Source organism: Homo sapiens, chromosome 16 (assembly GCF_000001405.40).
Source record: "Homo sapiens chromosome 16, GRCh38.p14 Primary Assembly".
In the NCBI taxonomy this organism is placed as follows: Eukaryota; Metazoa; Chordata; class Mammalia; order Primates; family Hominidae; genus Homo; species Homo sapiens.
In genome coordinates this window covers 81,171,607-81,188,075 of record NC_000016.10, presented here as the reverse complement: position 1 = coordinate 81,188,075, position 16,469 = coordinate 81,171,607, and the positions used below count along the sequence as shown (strand labels likewise).

The window sequence follows — 16,469 nt, the reverse complement described above, 5'->3', positions numbered from 1 at the left end:
GTGACAGACCAAGGGTGGCCCTGAATGCAGGCAGCAAGGGGATCTAGAGAATTTTAAAACAATAATGAAACCTGAAAAGCTGGTCCATACGCTGACAATTCCAAACAAAAGTGATAAAGTGCTCCTCTTCTCTGGTGTGGACTCCTCCCCTTTCCCCAGCCCTTTGGTATATCCCTAGGGAGAGAATCTAGAAGGGGGAAGTGAGTCAGGCATTTTCCAACAAACCAAGATGGCAGCACTAGCGCTCACATTGTAGAAATGGTATCCTCCTTTTTACAGGAATATAGCCTAGCTACATACACATTCTTTTAGCTTTTAGACATAAAATAAATGGGCCAGGCACGGTGGCTCATGCCTGTAATCCCAGCACTTTGGGAGGTTGAGGTGGGGGGATCACTTGAGGACGGGAGTTCGAGACCAGCCTGGCCAATGTGGTGAAACCCCGTCTCTACTAAAAATATAAAAATTAGCCAGGTATGGTGGTGGGTGCCTGTAATCCCAGCTACTCAAAAGGCTGAGGCAGGAGAATCGCTTGAATGTTGGAGGTAGAGGTTGCAGTGAGCTGAGATTGTGCCACTACACTCCAGCCTGGGCGACAGAGTAAGACTCCGTCTCAAAAAAAAAAAGAAAGAAAGAAAGAAAGAAATGTTATTCATACTGTTTTCTTTACCCTTTTCTCATTGAACAATGTAACCTGCATATTTGCATATTATAATGTCGTGGTATCGTCTCTATATTGATTTTCTTAATAGCTGCACAATAGACCATAATGTTGATGTGTGATTTTTTTTTCTTTTTTGAGATGGAGTCTCGCTCTGTCACCCAGGTTGGAGTGCAGTGGCGCAATCTCGGCTCACTGCAACCTCCACCTCCCAGGTTCAAGCGATTCTCCTGCCTCAGGTCCCGAGTAGCTGGAATTGTAGACACGTGCCACCATGCCCAACTAATTGTTGTACTTTTAGTAGAGATGAGGTTTCACTATGTTGGCCAGGCTGGTCTCGAACTCCTGACCTCAGGTGATCCACCTGCCTCGGCCTCCCAAAGTGCTGGGATTACAGGCGTGAGCCGCAGTGCCCGGCTGATGTGCGATCATTTCTTTACCCTCTTTTTGGACATTTAGATTGTTTCACATTGTTTGCTCTTATACAGTTCAATCTCTATTTACAACTGTGGTTACTTTCATAAATAAATTTGTAGAAATGGAATAACTGGGTCAAAAGTCATGCAACATTTTAAGGCTTTTGATGTTAATTGTTACGTGGTAATGACATCCCTCTGAATATTCATTCTCCTTATCTGAATACAGAGTATGCAAGTCCAGAGTTTAGGCGACCGAGCTGATGAGCCTGAACCCTGAACATATTTTGGAAATATGCTCAGGGAACATATCTTGGGACTGTTCTCCCAGGGCTGTAGATCTAGGGAATCTTGGAATTCTTGGAATAGTCCCAGGAATCTTGGGAATATTCTCCTGGGGATTTAGATCTTCCTGGCCTCTCTGCTGCTATATGCCTGTCACCATATTGGAGATGGTGGGAGGTGAGGTATTGATGAGTAAACATCTGTCAATAGAGTTGAAGGGCAGAGGATACAGAAACTTAGGAAGCTGCTAACATAAAGCAGGAGGTGACACAGCAGCCTCCCAGATGGCAGTACAACCTCCCAGGCCGCCGTAGTAGCCCACAGGGACTTGGCGCTGTGGACAGCCTCATCCACATGGAATGACAAATATACCGGGATAAGAAGCTGCCCTGGACCTTCTCCCAGGGCCACAGATCCTCCTGGCCCCTCTCCTGCTACACACCTTCCTGAGCACCAGTGCAACACAAGCCAACCACATCCTGCAGATTTGCTCAGAGTTTGGGTGAAGCATGGTTCTTTTTCCCAAAAGCATCCTTCCATAGCACCATTTCTGCAACCTGCATTAAAAGTGACGTTTTGGCCGGGTGTGGTGGCTCAGGCCTGTAATCCCAGCATTTTGGAAGGCCGAGGTGGGTGGGTCACCTGAGGTTGGAAGTTCGAGACCAGCCTGGCCAACGTGTTGAAACCCCAACTCCAGTAAAAATACAAAAATTAGCCAGGTGTGGTGGTGCATGCCTGTAATCCTAGCTACTCTGGAGGCTGAGACAGGAGAATCATTTGAACCCAGGAGGCGGAGGTTGCAGTGAGGCAAGATGGTGCCATTGCACTCCGGCCTTGGCAATAAGGGGGAAACTCCATCTCAAAATAAATAAATAATAAAACTGACATTAAAAAATTAAAATGTCTATTTAGAGCTGATGTTATTATTCATGACCCCTTTCAAAACCAGAAGCTAGCAGTGTGTGCCACGTTCAGGGCTCCTGATGGATCATAGTGTCTGTCCATTTCTCTCAGGGTCTTGCTGGGCTCTGTGGAGCAGCTGTGTTGAGAGGCAGCTGCTTCGCACAGACCAGAGGGAGCTGGTGGTTCCAGCATCCTGCCTGCCGCCGCCTGACTCTGCTGTCACCCTGCGCCTGGCTGTTCTGAGAGGCCAAGAGCTGGAGAACAGGGCAGAGCAGTGCCTCTACGTGTCTGCGCCCTGGGAACTCAGGCCTCGAGTCAGGTGGGGCACGTGGGCAGTTCCTCCAGGGTCCTGATTCATTCGTTCAGCCAACACTTACTGAGGACCCACTGAGGCTGGGGCTGCCTTGGGGCAAGGCTTGCTGTGGTGGTCTCTGTTGTCATAGGGGTTACTACCACCTGGTGATCAGCACTTCTGGACACGAATGAAGAAGGCAGAGAGCGCACCTCTATGAAAACTGCCCTGACTGGGGTTAGAGAGACTTCTCTCAGGAACTGCAGCTCAGCAGAGGTGTTCAGGAGAAATTCACAGGGCAGGGAAGGGGCAGCTGGAGCAGGAACAGAGCGGGCAAAGGGAGGGAGCAGAGAATCATCAGGGAGCGAAAGAGGCCAATGTCCTGAGGATGGAGAAGAGAAGGGTGGGAAGGAGCTGGTAGTGTAGGCAGGGCCTGGCTCAAGTGGGGCCTTGCCGGTCATATCAAGATTTTAGCCTTTTTCCTAAGAGTGATACAGAGAAACCACCCAAGAGTTCTTTATTTTTATTTTTATTTTTTTGAAATGGAGTCTCACTCTGTCACCCAGGCTGGAGTGCAGTGGCACCATCGCAGCTCACTGCAGCCTCCGCCTCCCAGGTTCAAACATTTCTCGTGCCTCAGACTCCTGAGTATCTGGGATTACAGGCACACATGCCACCGTGCGCAGCTAATTTTTGTATTTTTTGTAGAGGCAGGGTTTCACCATGTTGGATAGGCTAGTCTCAAACTCCTCACCTCAGGTGACCCACCTGCCTCGGCCTCCCAAATTGCTGGGATTACAGGAATGAGCCACCATGCCAAGCCAAGCAACCAAGAGTTCTAAGCATGTGACTTCAATATGCTCTGGTGGCTCAGTGGAGAATGACTTGGAAGAGGGCAAGAGAAGACCCAGGGAGATTGCCCAGGCTCTTGCAGGAGTCAAGGTAGGAGGTCAAGTTTGCTTGGACTATCAGCCAGTCCCTGCAGGAAGCTGATGGCTCAGCCAAACCAGGAATGAATGGAAGAGAGCTGATGAAGGGACTATTTACAGGTGAGGGCAGGTATAAGGCAATGAAGCAGGGGCGACAAGGCAGGACTACAACCAAGGGAAGCCATTATCACCCCCAGGAATGCAGAGGTAAGATTAGGCAGGACTACATACGTAGGGAGCTGTGGCCTTGGTTGGAGAAGCACAGCATCTCTCACCTGCAGCCCATCAGGGAAAAGAGCAGGGAAAGCCGTGAATAAATTCCCCAAACTCTCTCCTCTCACCCTCCAATCCTCTATCAATGGTTCCCATTGGCTGGACCCAGTTAGAAGCTGGAGGGTGTGGCAGCTTGGGTGATGCAGTGTATAGAGCTCAGTCTCCCAGGTCAGAGCCGCACGTGGGAGGAGACTGGATTGGAGAGGCAGATAGAGAATGTCCTGCACACTTGGACTAGGGCAGACATGAGGAGATAAGTAGGAAGTTCAAGAGCTGTCATCAAGTTCAGACCAAAGGGGAAACTGGGGGACCGTCCTGTGGAGGGCAGGTCTATGCAAACCTTCCCGCAAAGTTCGAGGAAGCAGAGAGGCCAGAGAAAGAAGCTGACAAATTTAGTTTCTTAGAAAGAAACATTTAATTGAGACTTGCGAACAGAAACCATGATGTCTAGGGCAGCTGCAAGACAAGATGGTGAAAGCCAGCGCCATTACCCGCCAGAACCAGGGCTTATATACCATAGGAAAGGAATGTGTAGGACAGTCGTAGGGAAAGGTAAGAATACTATGTGAATCTCTTTCAGGGCAGCACTCATAGTAAGTACATGCTCTTACACAAAGAACTGTAGAGAGAATAGAAATCTTAGAGGCATTCCTGGAATTGGGGTTAATCAGTAGTCAACGTGGCAGATTAGCATCTGAAATGGAGTTGCTTTGGCCTTCACAGAGACATTATAGAGAAGGCCAAGAGTTTGGATCCAGACACGATGGTTCACATTCTATCTGCCCACTTAGAAGTTACATCACTTAGGACAAATCACATAAGCTCTCGGGGCCTGGTTAGCTCACCTGTGATGTGGGGATGCTAATATGTCACTCATAGGGCTATTGTGAGCATTGGACAAGCTAGAGACAATGGAAGTAATGTGTGCATGGCAGGCGTGCTGTTGAACCACAGCATTAGTTTACTATTATCTGAACTAAAAAGAATCACAGAAATTATCTAGGCTATCCCCTCATTTTGCAGGTGAGGAAACTGAGGCTTAGAGAGTTTAAGTGATTCGGCTGGGCATGGTGGCTCATACCTGTAATCCCAGCACTTTGGGAGGCCGAGGCGGGCGGATCACCTGAGGTCAGGAGTTTAAGACCAGCCTGGCCAACACAGTGAAACCCTGTCTCTACTAAAAAAATACAAACGTTAGCCGGGCATGGTGGTGAGCGCCTATAATCCCAGCTACTCGGGAGGCTGAGGCAGGAGAATCTCTTGAACCAGGAGGTGGAGGTTGTAGTGAGCCGAGATCGTGCCACTGCACTCTAGCCTGGGCGATAGAGTGAGACTCAGTCTCAAAAAAAAAAAAAAAAAAAAAAAAAGTTTAAGTGATGCACACAAGGTGACCCTTCATAAGTGACAAGGACAGGATTAGAACCCAGGTCCTGTCTCAGCCTCATTCACCTTCCGTATCATTACGCTGTCAGTGAATGACATGGGAATTCAGTCAGGCCATGACTCAGTCCATCTTCACAACCAAGGCTACGTCCCAGTGTTGGTTGGGGCAGGGGCGGCTTTTATTCCATCTTTAATTTGAAAAAGGGCCATTTCCTACCCTCTCAAAGGACTTGAGAAGGACTGGACAAAAGACCAGGCCAGTGGTCACAATGCCTGTCTGAGTCCGTTTTGCATTTTTTTTTTTTTTTTTTTTTTTTTTGAGACGGAGTCTTGCTCTTTCACCCAGGCCGGAGTGCAGTGGCGCTATCTCGGCTCACTGCAAGCTCCGCCTCCCGGGTTCACGCCATTCTCCTGCCTCAGCCTCCCGAGTAGCTGGGACTACAGGCGCCTGCCACCACGCCTGGCTAATTTTTTGTATTTTTAGTAGAGACGGGGTTTCACCGTGTTAGCCAGGATGGTCTCGATCTCCTGACCTCGTGATCCACCAGCCTCGGCCTCCCAAAGTGCTGGGATTACAGGTGTGAGCCACCGCGCCCGGCCCATTTTGCATTGTTATAAAGGAATATCTGAGGCTAGGTAATTTATACAGAAAAATGGTTGGCTGGGCGCAGTGGCTCATGCCTGTAATCCCAGCACTTTGGGAGGTTGAGGCGGGTGGATCACTTGAAGCCAAGAGTTCAAGACCAGCCAGGCCAACACAGCAAAACGCTGTCTCTACTGAAAATACAAATTAGTTGGGTATGGTGGTGCCTGTCTGTAATCTCAGCTATTCAGGAGGCTGAGGCAGGAGAATTGCTTGAATCTGGGAGGCAGAGGTTGCAGTGAGCCAAGATCGCGCCACTGCACTGCAGCCTGGGCGACAGAGCGAGACTCTGTCTCAAAAAAAAAAAAAAAAAGAAAAGAAAAAGAAAAGAAAGAAGAAAAGAGATTTATTTGGCTCATGATTCTTATGGTTGGAAAATCCAAGACTGGACATCTGTATCTGATAAGGGCCTCAGGCTGCTTCCACTTACAGTGAAAGATGAAGGGGACCTGGTGTGTGCAGAGAAGGGTGGGAGGTGCCAGGCTCTTTTTTTTTTTTTTTTTTTTTGGAGATGGAGTGTTACTCTGTCACCCAGGTTGGAGTGCAGTGGTGTGATCTTGGCTCACTGCAACCTCCATCTCCCTGGTTCAAATGATTCTCCTGCCTCAGACTCCCGAGTAGCTGGGACTACAGGCACCCACCACCACATCCCACTAATTTTTGTATTTTTAGTAGAGACAGGGTTTCACCATGTTGGCCAGGCTGGTCTCAAACTCCTAACCTCACATGATCTGCCCGCCTGGGCCTCTCAAAGTGCTGGGATTACAGACGTGAGCCACTGCTCCCGGCCATCTTTTTAGCAACCAGCTCCGGTGGTGACTAATAGAGCAAGAACTCGCTCCCGAGGGAGGCATTCATCCAGTCATGAGGAATCCAACCCCATGACCCAAACACCTCCCATGAAGCCCCGCCTCCAACATTGGGGATCATATTTCAACATGAGGTTTCAGGGGACAAACATCCAGATGATAGCAATGCCTCGGGGAGCTTCCTCACTCTGTCCTCTGTCTGCCTTTCAGCTGTGAGAGGAACTGCAGGCCAGTTAATGCCAGCAAAGACATTCTGCTCAGGGTCACCATGGGGGAGGACTCTCCAGTGGCTATGTTCAGCTGGTATTTGGACAACACCCCAACAGAGCAGGTGAGCACAGTGACAACCACTCAAGAATGGAAATCTCCCTTGCGCTTTCAGCACACCCGTGTCGCATGCCCGGTACTGGGCCAGGGTTGGGTCAATTCCATTCAGAGCCTGTGGTGTGGGACTCAGGGTATTGGGCTGGGGAGAAAATCAGGGAATTGACAGCAGGGCAAATGGGCACAAAGGAGCATAAGCTCTGGAGAAACTTTGCAGCGGGTGCTCTTGGCATCTCAGCAAAAGTCCTGCTTCCCAGGCGGACGATCCTAACTCCAGCTTTTGTGGCCTGACCATTGGCCAACGACTGATGGGTGGAGGGTCTAATAGCCCAGCTTCTCTGTCCCCAGGTAGGGTGATTTCAGTTGTGCAACTTACACTTCAGGGCTCTCCGTGTGACCAGGCAGAGGCTGGATGCCTCCAGTAACTGTTTTTTGCCTTGTTTTGTTCTCTGCTGTTTCCCTCTCTGCACTGCTTTTCCCTGTGAATCCTCCTTCCATCAATAACCTGCACACAAGGCTGGATATGGTGGCTCAAGCCTTTAATCCCAACACTTTGGGAGGCCGAGGCAGGCAGATCACCTGAGGTCAGGGGTTTGAGACCAGCCTGGCCAACATGGTGAAACCCCGTCTCTACTAAAAATACGAAAACATTAGCGGGGTATGGTGATGCGTGCCTATAATTCTATCTACTTGGGAGGCCGAGGCAGGAGAATGACTTGAACCTGGGAGGCAGAGGTTGCAGTGCACAGAGATCATACACTGCACTCTAGCCTGGGCAGCAGAGTGAGACTCCGTCTCAAAAATATTTTCTTTTTAATTTTTTTTTTTTTTTGAGACAGAGTCTCACTCTGTCACCCAGGCTGGAGTACAATGACACAATCTCAGCTCACTGCAACCTCTGCCTCCTGGGTTCAAGCAATTCTCCTGCCTCAGCCTCCCAAGTAGCCAGGATTACAGGCACATAACACCATGCCCGGCTGATTTTCGTATTTTTAGTAGAGACAGAGTTTCCCCATGTTGGCCAGGCTGGTCTTGAACTCCTGAGCTCAGATGATCCACCCACCTCAGCCTCCCAAAGTGCTGGGATTAGAGGTGTGAGCCACTGTGCCTGGCTCAAAAATAAACAAATAAATAACCTGCACACAAATCCCCATCTCAGGCTCTGCTTCCGGGGAGCCCAATCTAAGACAGACACCGCAGTGAGGCTGGAAAGTGTATATTCCAGGTGACTTCTTGGGGAGCTGGGGCTGCCTGTCCTCCGTTCATCAGTAATAAATCTGAAAGGCTGTCTAGCACCCAGAAGCCACTGTCCTGCTGCAGTCCTGTGGCCTGGCTGTAGCGTCAGCAGCCCTGGGCCATCCTGTCTTTCAGGCTGAGCCCCTCCTGGATGCCTGCAGACTCAGAGGATTTTGGCCAAGGTCCTTAACCCTCCTCCAGAGCAACACCTCCACGTTGCTGTTGAACAGCTCGTTTCTGCAGTCCCGGGGAGAGGTCATCCGAATCAGAGCCACAGGTGCGAAACCTCCCTTTTATCTCCTCTCAGGGAACCCAGATAAACCCAGAAACACTCAGATATTGGGTGTCAGTTTATTTTTCTTTTAAATATTGAAATAGAGAGATGTGATCTCACTATGTTGCCCAGTCTGGTCCTGAACTCCTGGAGCCAAACGATCCTCCTGTCCCAGCCTCCTGAAGTGCTGGGATGGCAGCTGTGAGTCACCATACCCAGCCAGGGCATCAGCTTAGTGCAGAGGCCACAGCGCAGGCTCTGGTGTAAATCGCACCACTTCCGCTTTCTACGTGGGAGACTCTAGGCAGAGGATTTCGCCTCTCTATGCCTCAGTTTCCTGACATATAAACTGGGATAATCGAAATGCCTGCCTCAGAATGGTTATTTTGCAGGATGAATGAGATAACCCCAGTGTTACAAGCAGGTCATTCTGGGGTCGTGCAACCTGTACACCCTGCCAGGATTGTTCAGGGCTTCTCGTTTAAAACAAGCCCTGTGTGAGAAACATAGATTCTCAAACACACAAACAATGGAGGTGATGATTCTTTTTAGGAAGGATTGCTTTGCTTCCATTTTTCCCGAAGTGGCCCACAGACCATGCACATCAGGATAAACAAGGAATTAGTTAAACATGCACACTCTTGGGTCCACCCCAAACTTTCCGAATTGGGTCTAGGCCAAGGAATGAGTTTTTATGGGTTCAAATTCTCTTTATGCCCAGCTCTTCCAGGCATGCGCTCTCTGAAAATGTAGGTGGCTACTCCAGGTGATGTGGGATGTGACTGCAGGTCCACTCGTGGCTCTTAACAGTGATCTCGGCGCCTGGGAAGAGTGTGGGCTTCGGGGTGGGCTCAGCCTGTTTCCGGATCCTGGTTCTGGTCTTTCCTGGCTCTGTGATCTTGAGCATTTTCCCAGCATACTCCCACCTCACAAGATCTTTGTGCGGAAGCTATTATCATCAGCCTCATTCTACAGATGAGGAACTGACTCTCAAAAAGGTCAAGTTCTCAGCCCGGGTCCAGTGGCTTATGCCTGTAATCCCAGCACTTTGGGAGGCTGAGGCGGGAGGATCCCTTGAGGCCAGGAGTTCAAGACCAGCCCTGGCAACAGAGCGAGACCCTGTCTCTACAAAAATTAGAAAATTAGCCAGCCGTAATGGTGTACTCCTGTGGTTCTAGCTGACTCGAGAGGCCAAGGCAGTGGAATCACTTAAGTGTAGGAGTTCAAGGCTATAGTAAGTTATGATTGCACCACTGGACTCTAGCCTAGGTGACAGTGCAAGACCCTATCTCTAAAAAGAAAAAAAATTAGGAAAACAAAATTGGAAAAGAAAAGGTCAAGTCTGAGGTCACTCGGTTAACAAATGGCAGAACTAAAATTCAAGCTCAGGTCTGTCTAATTATCTTCCCCTATCTCTGCCCAGTTTCTCAAAGTGAGGCCCTGGGATCCCTTGCATCAGGGGGAGTTGTTTTGGGGTTTCATTGTTTAATTGTTAGATATGTACATTTCTGGGCTCTTCCCAGATCCAGAGATGTCTGAAGTTCTGGGTTTGAAGTAGAGCCCAAGAATCTTTGTGTTTAATGAGCTCAGGGGGCAATCTAACAGCAGGATGGAGTTTGTGGGCCCCACGTGGCCCCCTGAACATGATCTCTCTTTACTCCCAGCACTGACCAGGCATGCCTATGGGGAGGACACCTATGTGATCAGCACTGTGCCTCCCCGTGAGGTGCCTGCCTGCACTATTGCCCCAGAGGAGGGCACCGTTCTGACGAGCTTTGCCATCTTCTGCAACGCCTCCACAGCCCTGGGACCCCTGGAGTTCTGCTTCTGTCTGGAATCAGGTACCGGCTGAAGACTCTGCTCTTCCCTCAGCTCCTGGGCTCATCTTCTTGCAGAACAGGGGCCTGTTCTCTCTGGGAGCTGCAAAGAATATGTTCCGTGTGCGAGAGAGGTTGGTAGGATGAGGGCTCCCCTAAACCTCAACCCCTAGCCTCAAGACACTGACTCAGCCATCAGTCCACAGAGACATGAGAAGAAGGTCTCATCAATAGCTCTTCCACAACTGGAAGCCAAAATCCATTGCCCTGGCGTGGGGGACAGTGATGGAGTGAAATGAACGAGGATACCCAAAAGTATGACCATGTGGGGCCACCACCAAGACACCATCCCCCAACCCCTGCTCACCACACACACACACACACACACACACACACACACACACACACACACACACACACACACACACACACACTTGTAGTAGCTGGGACTCCCAGAAGCCTGGAGCTATTCAGGAAGACAGAGATGGGTCTGGTTAACAGAATCTTCAACAATTTCATTGACGCTGCTTTGCAAGCAGCCCCAGGGAATGGGTGATAATTGCAGGACTAGCTGAACTGAAAGAACATTTTTGCAAAGGTGTACAGGTGACAAACATGGAAGACCCCATCCACAATGCATAAAACCCTACACAGTCTCCCTGCTTTCACCCTAACCACTCACACCCCAGGACAGCCACAGGGCATTAGCAGGAGAGATGAGGGAGCCACTCACATTGCATTTATTCTTCCATTTGGAGAGTGATTGGTCCTTGGAGGGCTCATCTGAGCCCTGATCTCCACCCACTGGGCTTTGGCTTCTTCTTTTTTTTTTTTTTTTTTTGAGACAGAGTTTTGCCTTGTTGCCAAGGCTGGAGTGTGGTGGCACGATCTCGGCCCACTGCAACCTCAGCCTCCCGGGTTCAAGCGATTCTCTTGCCTCAGCTTCCCGAGTAGCTGAGATTACAGGTGCCCGCCACCACACCCGGCTAATTTTTGTATTTTTAGTAGAGATGGGGTTTCACTATGTTAGCCCGGCTAGTCTCAAACTCCTGACCTCAGGTGATCTGCCTGCCTCGGCCTCCCAAAGTGCTGGGATTACAGATGTAAGCCACACGCCCGGGAGAGCTTTGTCATTCTGTGCTCTGAAAATGCTCTAATCAGATTGTAAATTTCCACCAAAGTCAGCCACCAGTAGTGTTGCCAGGATGGTCCCCCAAATCCAGCATCAAACATCACAACGGCATAAACACTACACCTTGATTAGGGAAAGTGCACGTCAGCTATTGTAATACCTAAGAGAGTGTAGTTTTCACGAGCGCCCTGTCTAATAGATGTGGAAATGCATCACCGTTAAGAGGGCTGTGAATGGGGCTGAGTCTGAAAGGAAAAAGTTCAAGCAAGGTAAGTGGATGTTATTTCAAACTGCGTCCCGCCAGAGGGAAAGGCCAGGACAGCTGCCCTAATTCCAATAGGCTATTCCTCTTTAGTACCTCTCCCCCATCATCCAAGTGAGCACGGAGGCAGGAAAGTGTGGCTACATAAAAACGAGTCCCAGGCTGGGCGTGGTGGCTCATGTCAGTCATCCCAGGAACTTTGGGAGGCTAAGGTGGGTGGATCACCTGAGGTCAGGAGTTCGAGACCTAATTTTTACTTTTTTTTGTAGAAACAACGTCTTCCTAATTTGCCCAGGCTGGTCTTGAACTCCTCGCCCCTGAGCTAAGTTTTAAGTTGTCATTGTTGCTCCTCCTCCTCCTCCTCCTTCTTTTTCTTCCTCTTATAATTTGGTTTACCACCTTGACTTTTTTTAAAAAAAAAACTGTAAATGGGATGTTTTTCCTGCAATTTTTTATGGATTTTAGTAAAATTTTTCCAAAGTTACAGCAACCTGCAGTTGCTTAGAGAAGACAGTGAATCAGCATACGTGACTGTCTCATACTTGAAAGTGTGGAATCCCGAGAGCCTACCATGCCTTCAAGAGCTGTGGCTTTTGTGTCCCTGTCACCAGCCTCTACCTGAGTGGGTTGCAGTCTACCTGGGGCTTAGCGATGCCCCCTCATCGGTCAATTTCTGGTTTTGCCAGGTTCCTGCCTACACTGTGGCCCTGAACCTGCCCTCCCATCAGTGTATCTGCCACTTGGAGAGGAGAACAATGACTTTGTGCTGACAGTAGTTATTTCTGCCACCAATCGTGCAGGGGACACGCAGCAGACCCAGGCCATGGCTAAGGTAGGTGGTGGCAGTGGTCACTGTTTCTTTACTGAGAAAAATTCTCCACCCATATGAACCTCACTAAAAGGATGGCCGGATGGAAGATAGCCAGGGGCATAGCCAGATAAGTCAGTGATTCATCCATTCCTTCCACAAATATTTACAGAGCATCTACCCTGGGCCACGTCCTGGGGGTATAGCCAGGGACACAACAGACATGGTCTCTACCTTTGTAGATGTTATGATTTAGTGGCCAGAATAGGGGGAGGGTCCTGGGAGCTGGTGGGTGGGTGAGGGGGGTTGGAGAATGACTCTGGCATGAGTTAGGCCAGCACCTTCAGAGAGCTCAGAAGAAGTAGGACCAAGATTAGCCAACAAGGACTCAAGGAAGAGCCTGGATAAGATTCCAAGAAGATTTCAAGCGTCAGAGGCCAGGTGGGGGTGGAAGAGGTTGAGACCAAGAGAGGAGGGCGGCCAGTGGTAGAGCAATGACTTGCGCCAGGCTGGAGCCAACCAAGGCTTGGTTTGGGTGGCTGTCAGCTGCCTGGTGCGAGCAGGTCTGGGTGCCCTCCAGCCTCAGGAAGTGCTCGAGAGCCCACAGGCCAGGCCAAAGGCATCCAAGCCTCTCTGACCCCACATGAAGACCCCTGACTTCAGAGGCCAGCTTCTTCCTAGCAGGTTCTGAGCATATTTCTGATTTCCTAACAGGTGGCACTCGGAGACACATGTGTTGAGGATGTAGCATTCCAGGCTGCCGTGTCAGAGAAAATCCCCACAGCTCTGCAAGGCGAGGGTGGCCCCGAGCAGCTCCTCCAGCTGGCCAAGGCTGTGTCCTCCATGCTGAACCAAGAGCATGAAAGCCAGGGCTCAGGACAGTCACTGAGCATAGACGTCAGACAGAAGGTACCCGTGGGAAGCTGGGGGGCTCCTTTCATTCCCTTCCTCTGGGGCCCCAGGGTCTGCGTGCGGCCATTTGGGCTGTGGATCAAGGTTCATGGATCAGGGGAGAAACCTGTGGTGTCTCCCAAGCGGCTGACACCACCTCCCTCTCTGGTCTTTTGGGTGAGTGACATAAAGTGAAGAAAATGCCTTCTTCCTTGGTAACCTGCTTTCTCGGCTGGCCCTCATGGAGGCACAGGCCTCTGGGATGGGGGGAGTTTAGAACACATCATCCCCTGCTTTTCATGTTTCAGATGACAAGGCAGAGCCCCAGAGCAGAAAGGGGACTGTCCTCGGTCACATGGGTAGCGGTTTGGAGTTGGACCACAGATGGCGTCCCGGCTTTGTCACTTACCATTCGCATTGTCACAGGCCAGGGACCAAACCTCTCTAAGTCTCAGTTTCCCCATATAGAAGAATACTAGTCTCCTCATACAATTGTAGTAAGAGTTAAATAAGAATTACGATCACTGCAACTAAAAAACTAGATAAGACCGTCAACATTCAATCAGTTTTAATCTACAAAAATGGCCGTTCCATTGTTACAACCTAGTATGATAAACTATTGCAGAACGTATGATTGTGTCCACTCCCAGCATGTGCCACATGAGTTTGTGTTCGTGTGTGTGCATGCACACACCCACACACACACCCCTGTGGGCACGGAGAAGAGAAGAAAGACTTCTCTTGGCTCCCTGAAAGGTTTGCAGGAAGGTACTGAGTGTGGTGCTAGAGGCCTGGTAGGTACTTAATACAGGAAGCCGGATTGTCATTGTGGTCGCTTACCGAGAGAAACTAACATGTATCAAGCACCTGCTATGAGCTGCCAGGCCCTGAATTAGGGCTTCATGGATCTGTAATCCCCACTACAACCCTGGGACGTAAATGGTGAGGCCTCCATCTATGTTACAGCTGAGGAAACAGAGGGTAAGAGAATCAGAGGTGCCTGCCTGTGTCCCTGTGTCTGGTAAGTGGTGAAGCCTGGGTTCAAACCCAGTTTAGAGGTTCCCCCTCCACCTCCAGCCCTCTTACCCCAGACCCCCTGCCACATACATACACATTAGCTCTCACACATCATACATACACACTTTCACACACACTCTTATGCACACACACACACTCAAACATGTTCACACACACACACTCACAAACACATTCACATACTCCCACACACATACTCACACACTTATACGCATATACATACATGCTCACACACTCACTCATATGACTCATACTCACACACATACACACACTGACAGATGCTCACACACACACACTCATATACACACATACACATGCACACACAAACTCACACACATGCTCACACACATACACTGACACGCTGTCACACACACACATACTCCCACACACAATTATGCTTTCACACATACACATACATACACACTCACACACTTTCACACACACACAGCTCTCATTCTTGGTCACATTCACTCTGAGAAGTACCAATGGGAAGCTTCCCCTGGACATCCTGTGGTCCCCAAGCACACAGACCACACAGCCTAACCCAAGGTCTCCCCATGAAATGCCCGGGGCCTGGCACAAGACAGATGTCAAACTCTCACTGGGAAGCTGAGAAGATGTTAACAAGGGCTCTGTTGAGACAGGTGTGTGCAGGGCTTAGGGAACAAACTAGACAGCGTGGAGGACCCCAGAGGCCCGGCCTGCCGTGAGCAGGATCCAGGGGGCGGCTGCCCACAGAGGGACTCTCTGGTAGGAGCTGTGGCTTTTGAAGAATGAGGCGGCCAGCCCCCGGTGACCTGGCCGAGGGCATCAGGAGAATGACCCCTCCCAGCTCTCTCTCCTCCTGCCATCTCGTCCCCTGCTGGGCTCCTGCTGGGTGAGTCCATTTGCCGGAGGGTCCAGAGCCGGTGACATCTTTACCCAGGGTAGGTGACAAACGATGGGGTCAGGGCCTGCAGAAGCAAATGTGAGATTACCCATTATCTGAGTTTCCCTTCTGGAATATTCTGCAAAGAGTCTCCTGCCACACTGACCTATTCTTTCCTCAACCCAAGACACAGCCGGGATGGAGGCCTGGCTGTCCCTGGAATGGATGGCAGATGCACTCATACTTGGAAGCTTCGGGAAAGCCTGTCAGGCTGAGCCAGGTGTGAGCAACAGGCCACGGTGTCTCTGCCCCATCAAAAGTGGCTGCTGCTTAAATCTAAGTCATTATTAAAATTAAATAAAGTTACAAATGACAGTTCTACTGGGCAGTGCTGAAATGATGTTCTTAGTTTTTCTCTGCTCCTACCAAAGCCCCTCACCAGCCCCTCATTAGTGCTTTGTAGTGTAGAAAGCACTTGACCCTGAAGCCCGTGGCCTGGCCCAAGACAGGAGTGGAGGGCTGGGTAGGGGGGTTCTTGTCCCCACTGCTGCAAAGGCACACAGGGACCCCAAGCCTCCGGTGAGACCTCCCATCCATGCCAGACCAACAGTCATCCAGTTTCTGAATTTCATGCCATTCTGGTCACAGGTGCCACGCTGAGACACAATTTATTTTCAAATAGTGCCAAATTCTACAGATTCAATTTGAAGATTTGGAGAAAGCTTGAGACATCCTATATATGTTTGCTAGGGCTGCTGTTACAAATGACCACAAAGATCATGGCTTAACGCAACACGCATTTATTCACTTTATAGTTCTGGAGGCCAGAAGTTTAAAATGGGGTCCACTAGGCCAAAAGTAAGGTGATGGCAGAGCTGCAAACCTGGAGGCTCCAGGAGAGAAGCCATTCCTTGCCTTTTCCGGGTTCTAGAGGCCGCCTGCACTCCTTGACTCCTATCTTCAAAGCCAGCCACGCAGCATCTCCAAAGTCCTCTCCTCTCCCTCTGTCTCTCCCCACCCTTACCTCATCCTCTTTCCCTCTCTTTTTCTTCCCCCTACCCCTGCCTCCATCACCCATCTCCTGTTCTGATTAACGTTCCTACCTCCCTCTTAGAAGGGTCGTATGATGACGTTGGTCCCACCTGTTCGGATAATCTCTCCATCTCAGAATTTTTAACTTAATTGCTTCTCCAAAATGACTTAGTCAAAGTGCCTTTTGCCACATTCA

General features: G+C 49.9%; 1 pseudogene across 1 annotated transcript in view; it reads left to right on the top strand.

Moving 5' to 3' along the window:
- PKD1L2 (polycystin 1 like 2 (gene/pseudogene)) overlaps window positions 1-16,469 on the top strand; it is a 119,520-nt pseudogene that overhangs the window by 32,319 nt on the left and 70,732 nt on the right. The window contains exons 11-16 of the transcript NR_126532.3: window positions 2,377-2,584; window positions 6,805-6,925; window positions 8,290-8,431; window positions 10,093-10,269; window positions 12,326-12,471; window positions 13,162-13,356. The product of NR_126532.3 is annotated as a polycystin 1 like 2 (gene/pseudogene), transcript variant 1, non-coding (transcript). The remainder of the gene's footprint in view (window positions 1-2,376; window positions 2,585-6,804; window positions 6,926-8,289; window positions 8,432-10,092; window positions 10,270-12,325; window positions 12,472-13,161; window positions 13,357-16,469) is intronic.